Raw genomic sequence first — 15,401 nt, 5'->3', positions numbered from 1 at the left:
TGATGTAGGCATAAGGATAGACACATTAACCAGTGGAATGGACTAGAGTCCAGAAATACACCTACAAATAATACAGTCATTGATTTCTGACAAAGGTGAAGTGCCATGCAGTTGGAAAACGGACAGTCTTTCAATAAATGCTGCTAGATCAACTGGATGTCCATATGGAAAAAATTGTATGTCAGTCTGGGCGCGGTGGCTCACGCCTGCAATCCCAGCATTTTGGGAGGCCAAGGTGGGCGGATCATGAGGTCAGGAGATTGAGTCCATCCTGGCTAACATGGTGAAACCCCATCTCTACTAAAAAATACAAAAAATTAGCCGGGCATGGTAGCAGGTGCCTGTAGTCCCAGCTACTCGGGAGGTGAATGGCATGAACCTGGGAGGCAGAGCTTGCAGTGAGCCGAGATTGCCACTGCACTCCAGCCTGGGTGACAGAGTGAGACTCCGTCTCAAAAAAAAAGAAAGAAAAAATTGTATGTCAACTCTGACCTCACACTGTACACAAAACTTATTTGCAAATAGATGACTGATTTAAATGTGAAAGAAAAACAATAAAACTTTTAGAGGAGAAAAAATAGGTCTTCGAGACCTTGGGATAGGTTGACTTTTTTAAAAAAACAGGGCACAAAACTTTCTAACCATAAAAACATAATGAATTTGACTATGTTAAAATTAAGAACTCTGTTCATCAAAAAGATACCATTAAGAGTGAAGGGTGCAACTCACAGAATGTGAGGAAAAAAATGGAATACATATACCTGGCTGTTATGGGCTGAATTGTGTTTACCCCCAAATAAATATGCTGAATTCCTCAGAATGCGACTATATTTGGAGATAGGGTCTGTAAAAGATAATTGAATTAAAATAGGGTTCCTTAGTGTGAACCCCAATCCAATATGCCTGGTGTTCTTATAAGAAGAGGAAATTAGGATACAGGCACACATGGAGGGAAGATCATGTGAAGACACAATGAGAGAGAGCCATTCACAAGCCAAGGAGAGGAACCTCAGGAGATACCAACCCTACCAACACCTTGATCTTGGACTTGTAGCCTCTAGAATTGTGAAACAATAAATTTCAGTTGTTTAAGCCACTCAATCTGCCACTTTGTTATGGCAGCCTTAACAAATTAATACACTGGAAAGAACGATTTTACATAATATATAAAGAACTCCTATATGTATAAGTAAACATTTTAAAAATGGGTACTCAATTAAACAGACACTTCAAAATAGAGGATATCCAAAAAGTCAGGAACCTATGAAAGAGTATTTAAGTTCATTAGACAAAGTGAGAATGAAAATCTACAATGAGATATTGCTGTATCATTGTGCAACCATCAAAAGGACTTAAGTGAAAAAGAAAATACCAAGTATTGATAAGGATATATAACAACTACTACTCTTAATCACTAATGTGATTATAGATTGATACAACTACTTCCGAAAACTAGCAGTATTTATTAAAGTTTAGCATATGCATTCTATGATAGAGTAATTCCCCTTGCATATTATGTGATAGAGCAATTCTGCTTCTAGGTATATACCAGATAAAAGTGTGCATATATGTTCACCAAAAGATGTATTTTGGAATGTTCATAGCAGTACTATCATATTAGCCCTAAAATGGAAACCAGCCAAAAGCTCATCAGCAGTTAGATGGACAAATAAATTGTGGTATATTGACCCAATACAATTCTACAGGGGTCAGAAAACTTTCCTAAAAGGCCAGATAGTAAATGTTTTTGGTTTGCAGACTATAGATCTTCTTTATATCTATGCAACTCTGTCTTTGTAGGTGTTTGCAACCCAAAAGCAGCCATAGACAATATGTAAATGAATAGACATGGGTGTATTCCAATAAAACTTTATTTACAAAAATAGATGGTTGGCCCATGAACTATAGTTTCCAACCCCTGCTATAGAGCAAGGAGATTGAATTACCTATGACTACACACAACAATATGAATGAATATCACTAACATAAAGTTAAGCAAAAGAAGCCAGACACAAAAAGGTAATACTGTATGAGTCCATGTATATAAATTGCAAAAATAAGCACTACTAACTCTCATGGTTTGAATTGTGTTTCACAAAAACATACATTGATGGTCTAATCCCTGGTACCTGTGAATGTGATCTTTTTTTTTTCCTTCTTTGGCATTATTTTATTTTGATTATTTTTTATTTTATTTATTATTATTATACTTTAAGTTTTAGGGTACATGTGCAAAATGTGCAGGTTAGTTACATATGTATACATGTGCCATGCTGGTGCACTGCACCCACTAACTCGTCATCTAGCATTAGGTATATCTCCCAATGCTATCCCTTCCCCCTCCCCCCACCCCACCACAGTCCCCAGAGTGTGATGTTCCCCTTCCTGTGTCCATGTGTTCTCATTGTTCATTTCCCACCTATGAGTGAGAATATGCGGTGTTTGGTTTTTTGTTCTTGCGATAGTTTGCTGAGAATGATGATTTCCAGTTTCATCCATGTCCCTACAAAGGACATGAACTCATCATTTTTTATGGCTGCATAGTATTCCATGGTGTATATGTGCCACATTTTCTTAATCCAGTCTATCATTGTTGGACATTTGGGTTGGTTCCAAGTCTTTGCTATTGTGAATAATGCCGCAATAAACATACGTGTGCATGTGTCTTTATAGCAGCATGATTTATAGTCCTTTGGGTATATACCTAGTAAGGGGATGGCTGGGTCAAATGGTATTTCTAGTTCTAGATCCCTGAGGAATCGCCACACTGACTTCCACAATGGTTGAACTAGTTTACAGTCCCACCAACAGCGTAAAAGTGTTCCTATTTCTCCACATCCTCTCCAGCACCTGTTGTTTCCTGACTTTTTAATGATTGCCATTCTAACTGGTGTGAGATGGTATCTCATTGTGGTTTTGATTTGCATTTCTCTGATGGCCAGTGATGGTGAGCCTTTTTTCATGTGTTTTTTGGCTGCATAAATGTCTTCTTTTGAGAAGTGTCTGTTCATGTCCTTTGCCCACTTTTTGATGGGGTTGTTTTTTTCTTATAAATTTGTTTGAGTTCTTTGTAGATTCTGGATATTAGCCCTTTGTCAGATGAGTAGGTTGCGAAAATTTTCTCCCATTCTGTAGGTTGCCTGTTCACTCTGATGGTAGTTTTCTTGCTGTGCAGAAGCTCTTTAGTTTAATTAGATCCCATTTGTCAATTTTGGCTTTTGTTGCCATTGCTTTTGGTGTTTTAGACATGAAGCCCTTGCCCATGCCTACGTCCTGAATGGTAATGCCTAGGTTTTCTTCTAGGGTTTTTATGGTTTTAGGTCTAACGTTCAAGTCTTTAATCCATCTTGAATTAATTTTTGTATAAGGTGTAAGGAAGGGATCCAGTTTCAGCTTTCTACATATGGCTAGCCAGTTTTCCCAGCACCATTTATTAAATAGGGAATCCTTTCCCCATTTCCTGTTTTTGTCGGGTTTGTCAAAGATCAGATAGTTGTAGATATGTGGCGTTATTTCTGAGGGCTCTATTCTGTTCCATTGATCTATATCTCTGTTTTGGTACCAGTACCATGCTGTTTTGGTTACTGTAGCCTTGTAGTATAGTTTGAAGTCAGGTAGTGTGATGCCTCCAGCTTTCTTCTTTTGGCTTAGGATTGACTTGGTGATACGAGCTCTTTTTTTGTTCCATATGAACTTTAAAGTAGTTTTTTCCATTTCTGTGAAGAAAGTCATTGGTAGCTTGATGGGGATGGCATTGAATCTGTAAATTACCTTGGGCAGTATGGCCATTTTCATGATATTGATTCTTCCTACCCGTGAGCATGGAATGTTCTTCCATTTGTTTGTATGCTCTTTTATTTTCTTGAGCAGTGGTTTGTAGTTCTCCTTGAAGAGGTCCTTCACATCCCTTGTAAGTTGGATTCCTAGGTATTTTATTCTCTTTGAAGCAATTGTGAATGGGAGTTCACTCATGATTTGGCTCTCTGTTTGTCTGTTATTGGTGTATAAGAATGCTTGTGATTTTTGCACATTGATTTTGTATCCTGAGACGTTGCTGAAGTTGCTTAACAACTTAAGGAGATTTTGGGCTGAGACAATGGGGTTTTCTAGATATACAATCATGTCATCTGCAAACAGGGACAATTTGACTTCCTCTTTTCCTAATCGAATACTCTTTATTTCCTTCTCCTGCCTAATTGCCCTGGCCAGAACTTCCAACACTATGTTGAATAGGAGTGGTGAGAGAGGGCATCCCTGTCTTGTGCCAGTTTTCAAAGGGAATGCTTCCAGTTTTTGTCCATTCAGTATGATTTTGGCTGTGGGTTTGTCATAGATAGCTGTTATTATTTTGAGATACGTCCCATCAATACCTAATTTATTGAGAGTTTTTAGCATGAAGTGTTGTTGAATTTTGTCAAAGACCTTTTCTGCATCTATTGAGATAATCATGTGGTTTTTGTCTTGGTTCTGTTTATATGCTGGATTACATTTATTGATTTGCGTATATTGAACCAGCCTTGCATCCCAGGGATGAAGCCCACTTGATCATGGTGGGTAAGCTTTTTGATGTGCTGCTGGATTCGGTTTGCCAGTATTTTATTGAGGATTTTTGCATCAATGTTCATCAAGGATATTGGTCTAAAATTCTCTTTTTTGGTTGTGTCTCTGCCCGTCTTTGGTATCAGGATGATGCTGGCCTCATAAAATGAGTTAGGGAGGATTCCCTCTTTTTCTATTGATTGGAATAGTTTCAGAAGGAATGGTACCAGTTCCTACTTGTACCTCTGGTAGAATTCGGCTATGAATCCATCTGGTCCTGGACTCTTTTTCGTTGGTAAGCTATTGATTATTGCCACAATTTCAGCTCCTGTTATTGGTCTATTCAGAGATTCAACTTCTTCCTGGTTTAGTCTTGGGAGAGTGTATGTGTCGAGGAATGTATCCATTTCTTCCAGATTTTCTAGTTTATTTGCGTAGAGGTGTTTGTAGTATTATCTGATGGTAGTTTGTATTTCTGTGGGATCGGTGGTGATATCCCCTTTATCATTTTTTATTGTGTCTATTTGATTCTTCTCTCTTTTCTTCTTTATTAGTCTTGCTAGCGGTCTATCAATTTTGTTGATCCTTTCAAAAAACCAGCTCCTGAATTCATTAATTTTTTGAAGGGTGTTTTGTGTCTCTATTTCCTTCAGTTCTGCTCTGATTTTAGTTATTTCTTGACTTCTGCTAGCTTTTGAATGTGTTTGCTCTTGCTTTTCTAGTTCTTTTAATTGTGATGTTAGGGTGTCAATTTTGGATCTTTTCTGCTTTCTATTGTGGGCATTTAGTGCTATAAATTTCCCTCTACACACTGCTTTGAATGTGTCCCAGAGATTCTGGTATGTTGTGTCTTCGTTCTCGTTGGTTTCAAAGAACATCTTTATTTCTGCCTTCATTTCGTTATGTACCCAGTAGTCATTTAGGAGCAGGTTGTTCAATTTCCATGTAGTTGAGCGGTTCTGAATGAGATTCTTAATCCTGAGTTCTAGTTTGATTGCACTGTGGTCTGAGAGATAGTTTGTTATAATTTCTGTTCTTTTACATTTGCTGAGGAGAGCTTTACTTCCAAGTATGTGGTCAATTTTGGAATAGGTGTGGTGTGGTGCTGAAAAAAATGTATATTCTGTTGATTTGGGGTGGAGAGTTCTGTAGATGTCTATTAGGTCCGGTTGGTGCAGAGCTGAGTTCAATTCCTGGGTATCCTTGTTGACTTTCTGTCTCGTTGATCTGTGTAATGTTGACAGTGGGGTGTTAAAGTCTCCTATTATTAATGTGTGGGAGTCTAAGTCTCTTTGTAGGTCACTCAGGACTTGCTTTATGAATCTGGGTGCTCCTGTGTTGGGTGCATATATATTTAGGATAGTTAGCTCTTCTTGTTGAATTGGTCCCTTTACCATTGATTAATGGCCTTCTTTGTCTCTTTTGATCTTTGTTGGTTTAAAGTCTGTTTTATCAGAGACTAGGATTGCAACCCCTGCCTTTTTTTGTTTTCCATTTGCTTGGTAGATCTTCCTCCATCCTTTTATTTTAAGCCTATGTGTGTCTCTGCCTGTGAGATGGGTTTCCTGAATACAGCACACTGATGGGTCTTGACTCTTTATCCAATTTGCCAGTCTGTGTCTTTTAATTGGAGCATTTAGTCCATGTACATTTAAAGTTAATATTGTTGTGTTTGAATTTGATCCTGTCATTATGATGTTAGCTGGTTATTTTGCTTGTTAGTTGATGCAGTTTTCTTCCTAGTCTCGATGGTCTTTACATTTTGGCATGATTTTGCAGCGGCTGGTACCGATTGTTCCTTTCCATGTTTAGCACTTCCTTCAGGAGCTCTTTTAGGGCAGGCCTGGTGGTGACAAAATCTCTCAGCATTTGCTTGTCTGTAAAGGATTTTATTTCTCCTTCACTTATGAAGCTTAGTTTGGCTGGATATGAAATTCTGGGCTGAAAATTATTTTCTTTAAGAATGTTGACCCTCTCCCTCTCCCTCTCCCTCTCGTCTCCCTCTCCCTCTTTGCACGGTCTCCCTCTGATGCTGAGCTGAGGCTGGACTGTGCTGCCGCCATCTCGGCTCACTGCAACCTCCCTGCCTGATTCTCCTGCCTCAGCCTGCCGAGTGCCTGGGATGCAGGCGCGCGCCGCCACGCCTGACTGGTTTTTGTATTTTTTGGTAGAGACGGGGTTTCGCTGTGTTGGCCGGGCTGGTCTCTAGCTCCTGACTGCGAGTGTTCTGCCAGCCTCAGCCTCCCAAGGTGCCAGGATTGCAGACGGAGTCTCGCTCACTCAGTGCTCAATGTTGCCCAGGCTGGAGTGCAGTGGCGTGTTCTTGGCTCGCTACAACCTCCACCTCCCAGCCGCCTGCCTTGGCTTCCCAAAGTGCCGAGATTGCAGCCTCTGCCCAGGTGCCACTCTGTCTAGGAAGTGAGGAGCATCTCTGCCTGGCCGCCCATCGTCTGGGATGTGAGGAGCCCTTCTGCCCGGCCGCCCAGTCTGGGAAGTGAGGAGCGTCTCTTCCTGGCCGTCATCCCGTCTAGGAAGTGAGGAGCATCTCTGCCCGGCCGCCCATCGTCTGGGATGTGGGGAGCGCCTCTGCCCCGCCGCCCCGTCTGAGATGTGAAGAGCGCCTCTGTCCGGCCGCGACCCCGTCTTGGAACTGAGGAGTGTCTCTGCCCCGCCACCACCCCGTCTGGGAGGTGAGGAGCGTCTCTGACTGGCTGCCCCATCTGAGAAATGAGGAGCCCCTCCGCCTGGCAGCCGCCCCATCTGGGAAGTGAGGAGTGTCTCCGCCCGGCAGCCGCCCCATCCGGGAGGTGGGGGGCAGCCCCCGCCCGGCCAGCTGCCCCATCCGGGAGGTGGGGGGTAGCCCCCACCTGACCAGCCGCCCCGTCCGGGAGGTGGGGGGCGCCTCTGCCCGGCCGGCCCGTCTGGGAAGTGAGGAGCCCCTCTGCCCGGCCGCCACCCCGTCTGGGAGGTGTACCCAACAGCTCATTGAGAAAGGGCCATGATGACGATGGCGGTTTTGTTGAATAGAAAAGGGGGAAATGTGGGGAAAAGAAAGAGAGATCAGATTGTTACTGTGTCTGTGTAGAAAGAAGTAGACATAGGAGACTCCATTTTATTCTGTACTAAGAAAAATTCATCTGCCTTGGGATGCTGTTAATCTATAACCTTACCCCCAACCCTGTGCTCTCAAACGTGTGCTGTGTCCACTGAGGGTTAAATGGATTAAGGGCGGTGCAAGATGTGCTTTGTTAAACAGATGCTTGAAGGCAGCATACTCCTTAAGAGTCATCACCACTCCCTAATCTCAAGTACCCAGGGACACAAACACTAGGGAAGGCAGCAGGGCCCTCTGCCTAGGAAAACCAGAGACCTTTGTTCACATGTTTATCTGCTGACCTTCCCTCCACTATTGTCCTATGACCCTGCCAAATCCCCCTCCCCGAGAAACACCCAAGAATGATCAATAAATACTAAAAAAAAAAAAAAAAAAAAAAAAAGAATGTTGAATATTGGCCCCCACTCTCTTCTGGCTTGTAGAGTTTCTGCCGGGAGATCTGCTGTTAGTCTGATGGGCTTCCCTTTGAGGGTAACCCGACCTTTCTCTCTGGCTGCCCTTAACATTTTTTCCTTCATTTCAACTTTGGTGAATCTGACAATTATGTGTCTTGGTGTTGCTCTTCTTGAGGAGTATCTCTGTGGCGTTCTCTGTATTTCCTGAATCTGAATGTTGGCCTGCCTTGCTAGATTGGGGAACTTCTCCTGGATAATATCCTGCAGAGTGTTTTCCAACTTGGTTCCATTCTCCCCGTCACTTTAAGGTACACCAATCAGACGTAGATTTGGTCTTTTCACATAGTCCCATATTTCTTGGAGGCTTTGCTCGTTTCTTTTTATTCTTTTTTCTCTAAACTTCCCTTCTCGCTTCATTTCATTCATTTCATCTTCCATCGCTGATACCCTTTCTTCCAATTCATCGCATCGGCTCCTGAGGCTTCTGCATTCTTCACGTAGTTCTCGAGCCTTGGTTTTCAGCTCCATCAGCTCCTTTAAGCACTTCTCTGTATTGGTTATTCTAGTTATACATTCTTCTAAATTTTTTTCAAAGTTTTCAACTTCTTTGCCTTTGGTTTGAATGTCCTCCCGTAGCTCGGAGTAATTTGATCGTCTGAAGACTTCTTCTCTCAGCTCGTCAAAGTCATTCTCCGTCCAGCTTTGTTCTGTTGCTGGTGAGGAACTGCGTTCCTTTAGAGGAGGAGAGGTGCTCTGCTTTTTAGTTTCCAGTTTTTCTGCTCTGTTTTTTCCCTATCTTTGTGGTTTTATCTACTTTTGGTCTTTGCTGATGGTGATGTACAGATGGGTTTTTGGTGTGGATGTCCTTTCTGTTTGTTAGTTAGTTTTCCTTCTAACAGACAGGACCCTCAGCTGCAGGTCTGTTGGAGTACCCGGACGTGTGAGGTGTCAGTCTGCCCCTGCTAGGGGGTGCCTCCCAGTTAGGCTGCTTGGGGGTCAGGGGTCAGGGACTCACTTGAGGAGGCAGTCTGCCCCTTCTCAGATCTCCAGCTGCATGCTGGGAGAACCACTGCTCTCTTCAAAGCTGTCAGACAGGGACATTTAAGTCTGCAGAGGTTACTGCTGTCTTTTTGTTTGCCTGTGCGCTGCCCCCAGAGGTGGAGCCTACAGAGGCAGGCAGGCCTCCATGAGCTGTGGTGGGCTCCACCCAGTTCGAGCTTCCCGGCTGCTTTGTTTACCTAAGCAATCCTGGGCAGTGGCGGGCACCCCTCCCCCAGCCTCGCTGCCGCCTTGCAGTTTGATCTCAGACTGCTGTGCTAGCAATCAGCGAGACTCCGTGGGCGTAGGACCCTCTGAGCCAGGTGCGGGATATAATCTCGTGGTGCGCCGTTTTTTAAGCCCGTCGGAAAAGCGCAGTATTCGGGTGGGAGTGACCCAATTTTCCAGGTGCCGTCTGTCACCCCTTTCTTTGACTAGGAAAGGGAACTCCCTGACCCCTTGCGCTTCCCGAGTGAGGCAACGCCTCGCCTTGCTTCGGCTGGCGCACGGTGCACTGCACCCACTGACCTGTGCCCACTGTCTGGCACTCCCTAGTGAGATGAACCCGGTACCTCAGATGGAAATGCAGAAATCACCCGTCTTCTGCGTCGCTCACACTGGGAGCTGTAGACTGGAGATGTTCCTATTCGGCCATCTTGGCTCCTCGGTCGTGAATGTGATCTTATCTGGAATAGAGTTTACAGATATAATCAAGTTAAGGTGGACCCTAATCCAATATGACTGCATCCTAATCCAATATGACTGGTGTCCTTATATGAAAAGGCAAAAAGACACAGACACCAAGAAAACTCCATAAGAATACCAATACAGAGGAAAGACAGCCATGCAAAGACAGAGGCAGAGATTATAGTTATGCTCCCACAAGCCAAGAAATGTCTAGAGCTATCAGAAACTGGAAGAGTTGAGGAAGGATCCTCTCCTAGAGAATTCAGAGGGAGTATGGCTCTGCCAGCAACTTATTTCAGACTTTTAATCTTCAGAACTGTGAAAGAATAAATTTCTGTTGTTTTAAGCCATCCAGTGTGTGGTACTTTGTTATAGCCACCCTAGAAAACTAATATACTAATCTGTGCTGTTAAAAGTCAAGATAAAGATTACTCTTGACAAAGTTGACTAGAATAGGACAGAAAGATAGTTTCTAGGGGTGCTGATATTTCTCTGTTGTGGGTAGTACTGAACTCTATATATATAATTTCCTTATTAAGTCAAGAACTTTCACCTTTTCACTTAAAGGAAACTACAGCTTCTCTTTGGCACATCCAAATTGCCAGCATTGCTACTCTTGTGCTTTGGGGCCATTACTAAGTAAAACAAGGGTTACTTGAACACAAGTACTGTGATACCATGACCGTCGATTTGATCATTGAGACACCTACCAAGTGACTAAGGGGTGGGTAGCATATACAGCCTGGATATGCTGGGCAAAGGAATGATTCACATCCAGGACAGAGTGAAGTGGGACAGCCTGAGATTCTATCATGCTACTCAGAATGATGTACAATTTAAAACTTATGAAATATTTATTTCTGAAAATTTTCATGTAATATTTTCGGACCAGAGTTGACCTTGGGTAACTGAAACTGTGGAAAGCAAAATCATGGATGAAGGGGGCTACTGTATGTAATCATCCAAATCTTAGGAACTTATGCACATCCGTATTGTACAATTCAATTTTTATATGCAAATTTATATATCCCTGGATAAAGATACACAATTATACCTCTAAACCTAACATACATACACTCTTTCTTAGTAACTGACACAATTAAGGGGCAATAGATTACCCTACTAAGGCTGTGACACCAAATTTGGGCCTTTTCAAAACAATCCAAATTTCAGTTGTTCTAATCCCTTGTCAAATGGTGTTATTAAATGATACAAACTGATATTTAGTTCAGAGAATATAATTGCTAAATGGCTATTTCCAAATATGCTTTCAAGTTGAACAAATGTTTCAATTTTGTATATCATCAAATTATAGGACTATATATAAAAACAAAAACATGCACCTTAGGGAATATAAAATAATGAAAAATTCTTTTCATGCTTTCTACAACTTATATTAGTCCGTTTTCATGCTGCTGATAAAGACATAACTGAGACTGGGTAATTTATAAAGAAAATGAGGTTCGATGGGCTCACAGTTCCACGTGGCTGGGGAGGCCTCACAATCATGGCAGAAAGTGAAAGGCACGTCTTACATGGTGGCAGACAAGAGAGAATGAGAGCCAGCCGAAAGGAGAGACCCCTTATAAAATCATCAAATCTTGTGAGACTTATTCACTACCACAAGAACAGTATGGGGGAAACTGCCCCCATGATTCAATTATCTCCCCCAGGTCTCTCCCACAACATGTGGAAATTATGGGAGCTGCAAATCAAGATGAGATTTGGGTGAGGACACAGCCAAACCATATCAAACTTTTTGAAAACATTCTTTTAGCTGCAGTTTCTCACATATGGTTATAGTTCCAAGAGATAAAATTCTTGTATAATTTGAGGAAGAACATTTTTGTTATTTTTAATATATGGCAATGTGAGACATATTTTTAAGTTGTAAAAACAAAAATTAAAAAATTTTCAGGCCTGCTCTCAGTATATGAAGATTAGGCATTTAAACTTCTTATCCTTTAAATGCATTCTAAATAAGAATTACAGGCTTTGCTTAATTTGAAGAAAATCTATTTGACATTAATACATTTATCTTCATTTGCAGTATTATTCTGAATATGAATGTCTTGGAGCTAGGTACAGTGGCTCACACCTGTAATCTCAACAATTTGGGAGGCCGAAGGCAGGCAGATCACCTGAGGTCAGGAATTCCAGACTAGCCTGGCCAATGTGGTGAAACCCCATCTCTACTAAAAATACAAAAATTAGCTGGGCATGGTGGCAGGCACCTGTAATCCCATGTAATACGAGCTACTCGGGAGGCTGAGGCAGGTGAATCACTTGAGCCTTGGGCGGAGGTTGCAGTGAGTTGAGATTGCACCACTGCACTCCAGCCTGGGCAACAAAGGCAAAACTCTATCTCAAAAAAAAAATAATAATAATATAATAATAATAATAATTAATGTAGTTGAATGAATACAAGGATAAAGCCAGTCCTCAGGCACATTGTGTGTACATTTAAATACTAGTTAAAAGGCAGTCTACTTTTCTTTATATTCTTTGGTGTGTATGTGCATTAAGTTGCAAAATCAAGGACTCCAGTTCAGTGTATTCCTTTTCTGCATAAATAAATAACAAAATGATAGTAAAATATTTGACAGAAAAATGAAAAGGAGACTCTCTCATCATTAAAAAAAGTAAAACCATGAATTGCATAAATCTATGATTAGCATAAATGGAGAACTGCAAAAGTGAAAGTAATACTAAAAAAATACTCCAGTAGCTTCTGCACAGACCAAATTATTTGAATTTATAATTAGAAAGTTATGCTAAGTGTGACAGAGATTCTTGCTATTTTTTATTTATTGTCTGGACTTCTTTTTTTAAAGAAGTGACCCTTGCCCCGCCACCTGTTAATGACTCTGTTAAAGTAATTTTAAGTATTTTCTTTCAATACATTTCTATTTGATATTATTAATAAATTTACTTTAAATGCTTGGAACTAGAGACTTTATAACATGTAAATTAATACAATATGTGGCAAAACTATGAAAATATTTGCACCTCAGATTATGACAGTGATGGAATATGGAATCTGCTATCTTTAGAGTATACTTAAGAGTGCAGCTTAGGCTGGGCACAGTGACTCACACCTGTAGTCTCAGCACTTTGGGAGGCCGAAGTGGGTGGATTGCTTGAACTTACAGGTTCGAGACCAGCCTGGGCAACATGGCTGGTCTTTACAAACCCTGTCTCTACAAAAAATACAAAAATTAGCTGGGTGTGGTGGTGCATGCCTGTAGTCCCAGCTACTGAGGGGGCTGAGTTGGGAGGATCACTTGAGCCTGGGAGGCTGAAGTTTCAGTGAGCCGTGATGGTGCCACTGCACTCCTGCCTAGGTGATAGAGCCAGACTTTTTCTCAGAAGAGTACAGCTTAGATTATTTTTTTTCTGAGAACCTTATCTTTCTAATTACCAATATCTGTAAGCTTATATTTGCTAATAAGATAAATTCAGACAATTCTCAGGAGGTAGGGAGGGCGGCAGGGTAAAGGGAGCACTTTTATTTTCAAAGTACCATTCGTAACAAAAATACAGCAAAAAGATTTCGTCAGGTAGTATCCATGTGCTAGTGTTCTATAAACAAACAAACAAAACTTGCATACAGTCCTCATTCCTGACAAGACTTGCCAACTTTGCCTTGAAATTTTTGGGAGCCCTCGGAATCTCTCTAATTAGAGTCCCAGATCCTAGTTGCTGCCACTGGGAGCAAATGTGCTTAGTCATTGTGCACCACCTTGTGGCAGCGTTTAGACATGCATCTTTTTTAGAAGTTCTTTAGTATTTAAGACCCAAAGGCAACTCTTTATTCTTCATTTTAAAACAGCAACTTGCAAAGCTTTTCTTCCAAGTCTTCCCACCTCAAAACAAAGGTTCCTTCTCTAAATAACTTAAATGAATCCTCTGGGAGAGCTAAAGCAACTGGTACAACTAGAGAGAGAATTGTTGATAGATCAGTCTCTGGAATTAGACTACCTTGAATTAGAATCTCAAATTTGCTACTTACTAACAGCATAGTCTTGAGCATCTTACTTAACCTCTGTAAGAATTAATTTTCTCATAGGTGAAATGGAGATATAATAGGAACCTTATAGGCAGACAACCAAGGGTGATGAGACATTTTAGGAAAATGTAGAATGTGTGAAAGTCCAAAATAAGGAAATAGAAAATGGATGAAAGAGCAACAGGATAATTCAGGAATGTAATAAAACCTAATATAAAACTTTAGTAACGTCCGAGAAATTAAAGATTAAATTGCAACCACAAAACTGAATAGGATGCCATTTTAAAATAAAAAGAACCAGAGCAAGCACAGAGAAGCAAAAATTATGTTTGGAAGGAAAACCGGAGGTCTCGAACATAAAGTCAATACCTTCTCAATGAAAGCAAAAAGTCAAGGAGACAGAAAATATAAGAGAAAAGGGGGGCAATTTAAGAACCCAGTATCTAACTTATAAGTGTTCAAGAAAGAACAAACAAATCAGAAGAAATAATTTGAGAAACGTTTTCAGAACTGAAGTGAGACAGAAATCTTCACATTAAAAAGTCTTACTTAATGCTAGTTAGGATGAATGAAAGGTCTACAAATAAAGCTAATTGCAATATTTCAGAACATTGTGGATAAAGACAAAATTGTAAATGCTTACGAGGCACAAAAATTTAAAAATGTAATAGTCTTTTAGTGAGCAATGTTGGATGCTAAAAGTCAATTGATTTAAAATTCCAGGGGGAAGCCAGGCACAGTGGTTTGTGCCTGTAATCTCAGCTACTTGGAAGAATGAGAAGGCAGGAGTGCGTGCGCCCAAGAGTTCGAGGCTGCGGTGAGCTGTGGTCTCACACCTGCACTCCAGCCTGGGTGACAGAGCGAGACCCTGTCTCCAAAACTGTAATAATAAAAAATAAAATTCCAAGGGAAAAATGATTTTCAACCTTATGTTCTATGCCCAGCCAAACTACTAAGTATGAAAGTAATATAAAGATGCCTTAATACATTCAAAGATTCAGAAAATTTTATTCTTATACATCCTTTCTTAGGCAGTTGCTCAAAATTGAGCACCAGTAAAACAAGAAAGAAAAAGCCCAAGAATCCATTTGTAGTAGATTCAGCCCAGGAACTTAATGAAAGGAAGTTCAAAGGTGACAGTTACAGGACAGGTCTAGATTGCATTAGGAGGCAGATAGAGGGTTCAAGGAAGGAGGCATTGATGAGGGGGGAATAAATGGGTGAGGTATTCCCATGTATTTGCTTTTACCCTTCAACTATTGAGTGAACTTAAAGAAACAAGATGGATATTGCTAGACAAAAAGGAAGGCTGCAAAACTTCAGGGGAAGCAATATGCTGCTCAAGAAAGAAAACCACTCCACTTGATTCTGCATTAAAAATATTTTTACCTTCTGTATATCTCTCAAATCAGTCTATTCTCTGTAACTCTACTACCACCACCACTCTGGAGTTACCATGATTTCTGCTTAGACTTGTACTGGTTTTCTTGCATCCTTTCTGTCTTATCTCAAATCTGTTCTCCATATTACACTCTATATGGTGACGTTTTTCACAATGCAGATCTGATTGTGCCCCCTCTTCGGTTAAAACATTTCAGTGGCTTCCCATAGCTCTTAG

At 41.1% G+C, this 15,401-nt stretch overlaps 1 protein-coding gene across 15 annotated transcripts in view, besides 1 other annotated feature; it reads left to right on the top strand.

Annotated features, from left to right (window-relative positions):
* HFM1 (helicase for meiosis 1) overlaps positions 1–15,401 on the top strand; it is a 147,242-nt gene that overhangs the window by 111,605 nt on the left and 20,236 nt on the right. The gene's annotated exons all lie outside the window — the stretch shown is intronic.
* Positions 6,555–6,769: a silencer, noted in NCBI's record as "fragment chr1:91755191-91755405 (GRCh37/hg19 assembly coordinates)". NCBI's record gives its function as "represses an EF-1alpha promoter that drives an FKBP-Casp9 reporter gene in an ReSE screen in phorbol 12-myristate 13-acetate-treated (for megakaryocytic differentiation) K562 erythroleukemia cells {active_cell/tissue: K562(+PMA)}" and the evidence as "EXISTENCE:reporter gene assay evidence [ECO:0000049][PMID:32094911]".

The sequence above is a fragment of the Homo sapiens genome, chromosome 1, assembly GCF_000001405.40.
Source record: "Homo sapiens chromosome 1, GRCh38.p14 Primary Assembly".
Taxonomy (NCBI): domain Eukaryota; kingdom Metazoa; phylum Chordata; class Mammalia; order Primates; family Hominidae; genus Homo; species Homo sapiens.
This window is presented reverse-complemented; position numbering and strand designations above follow the sequence as displayed.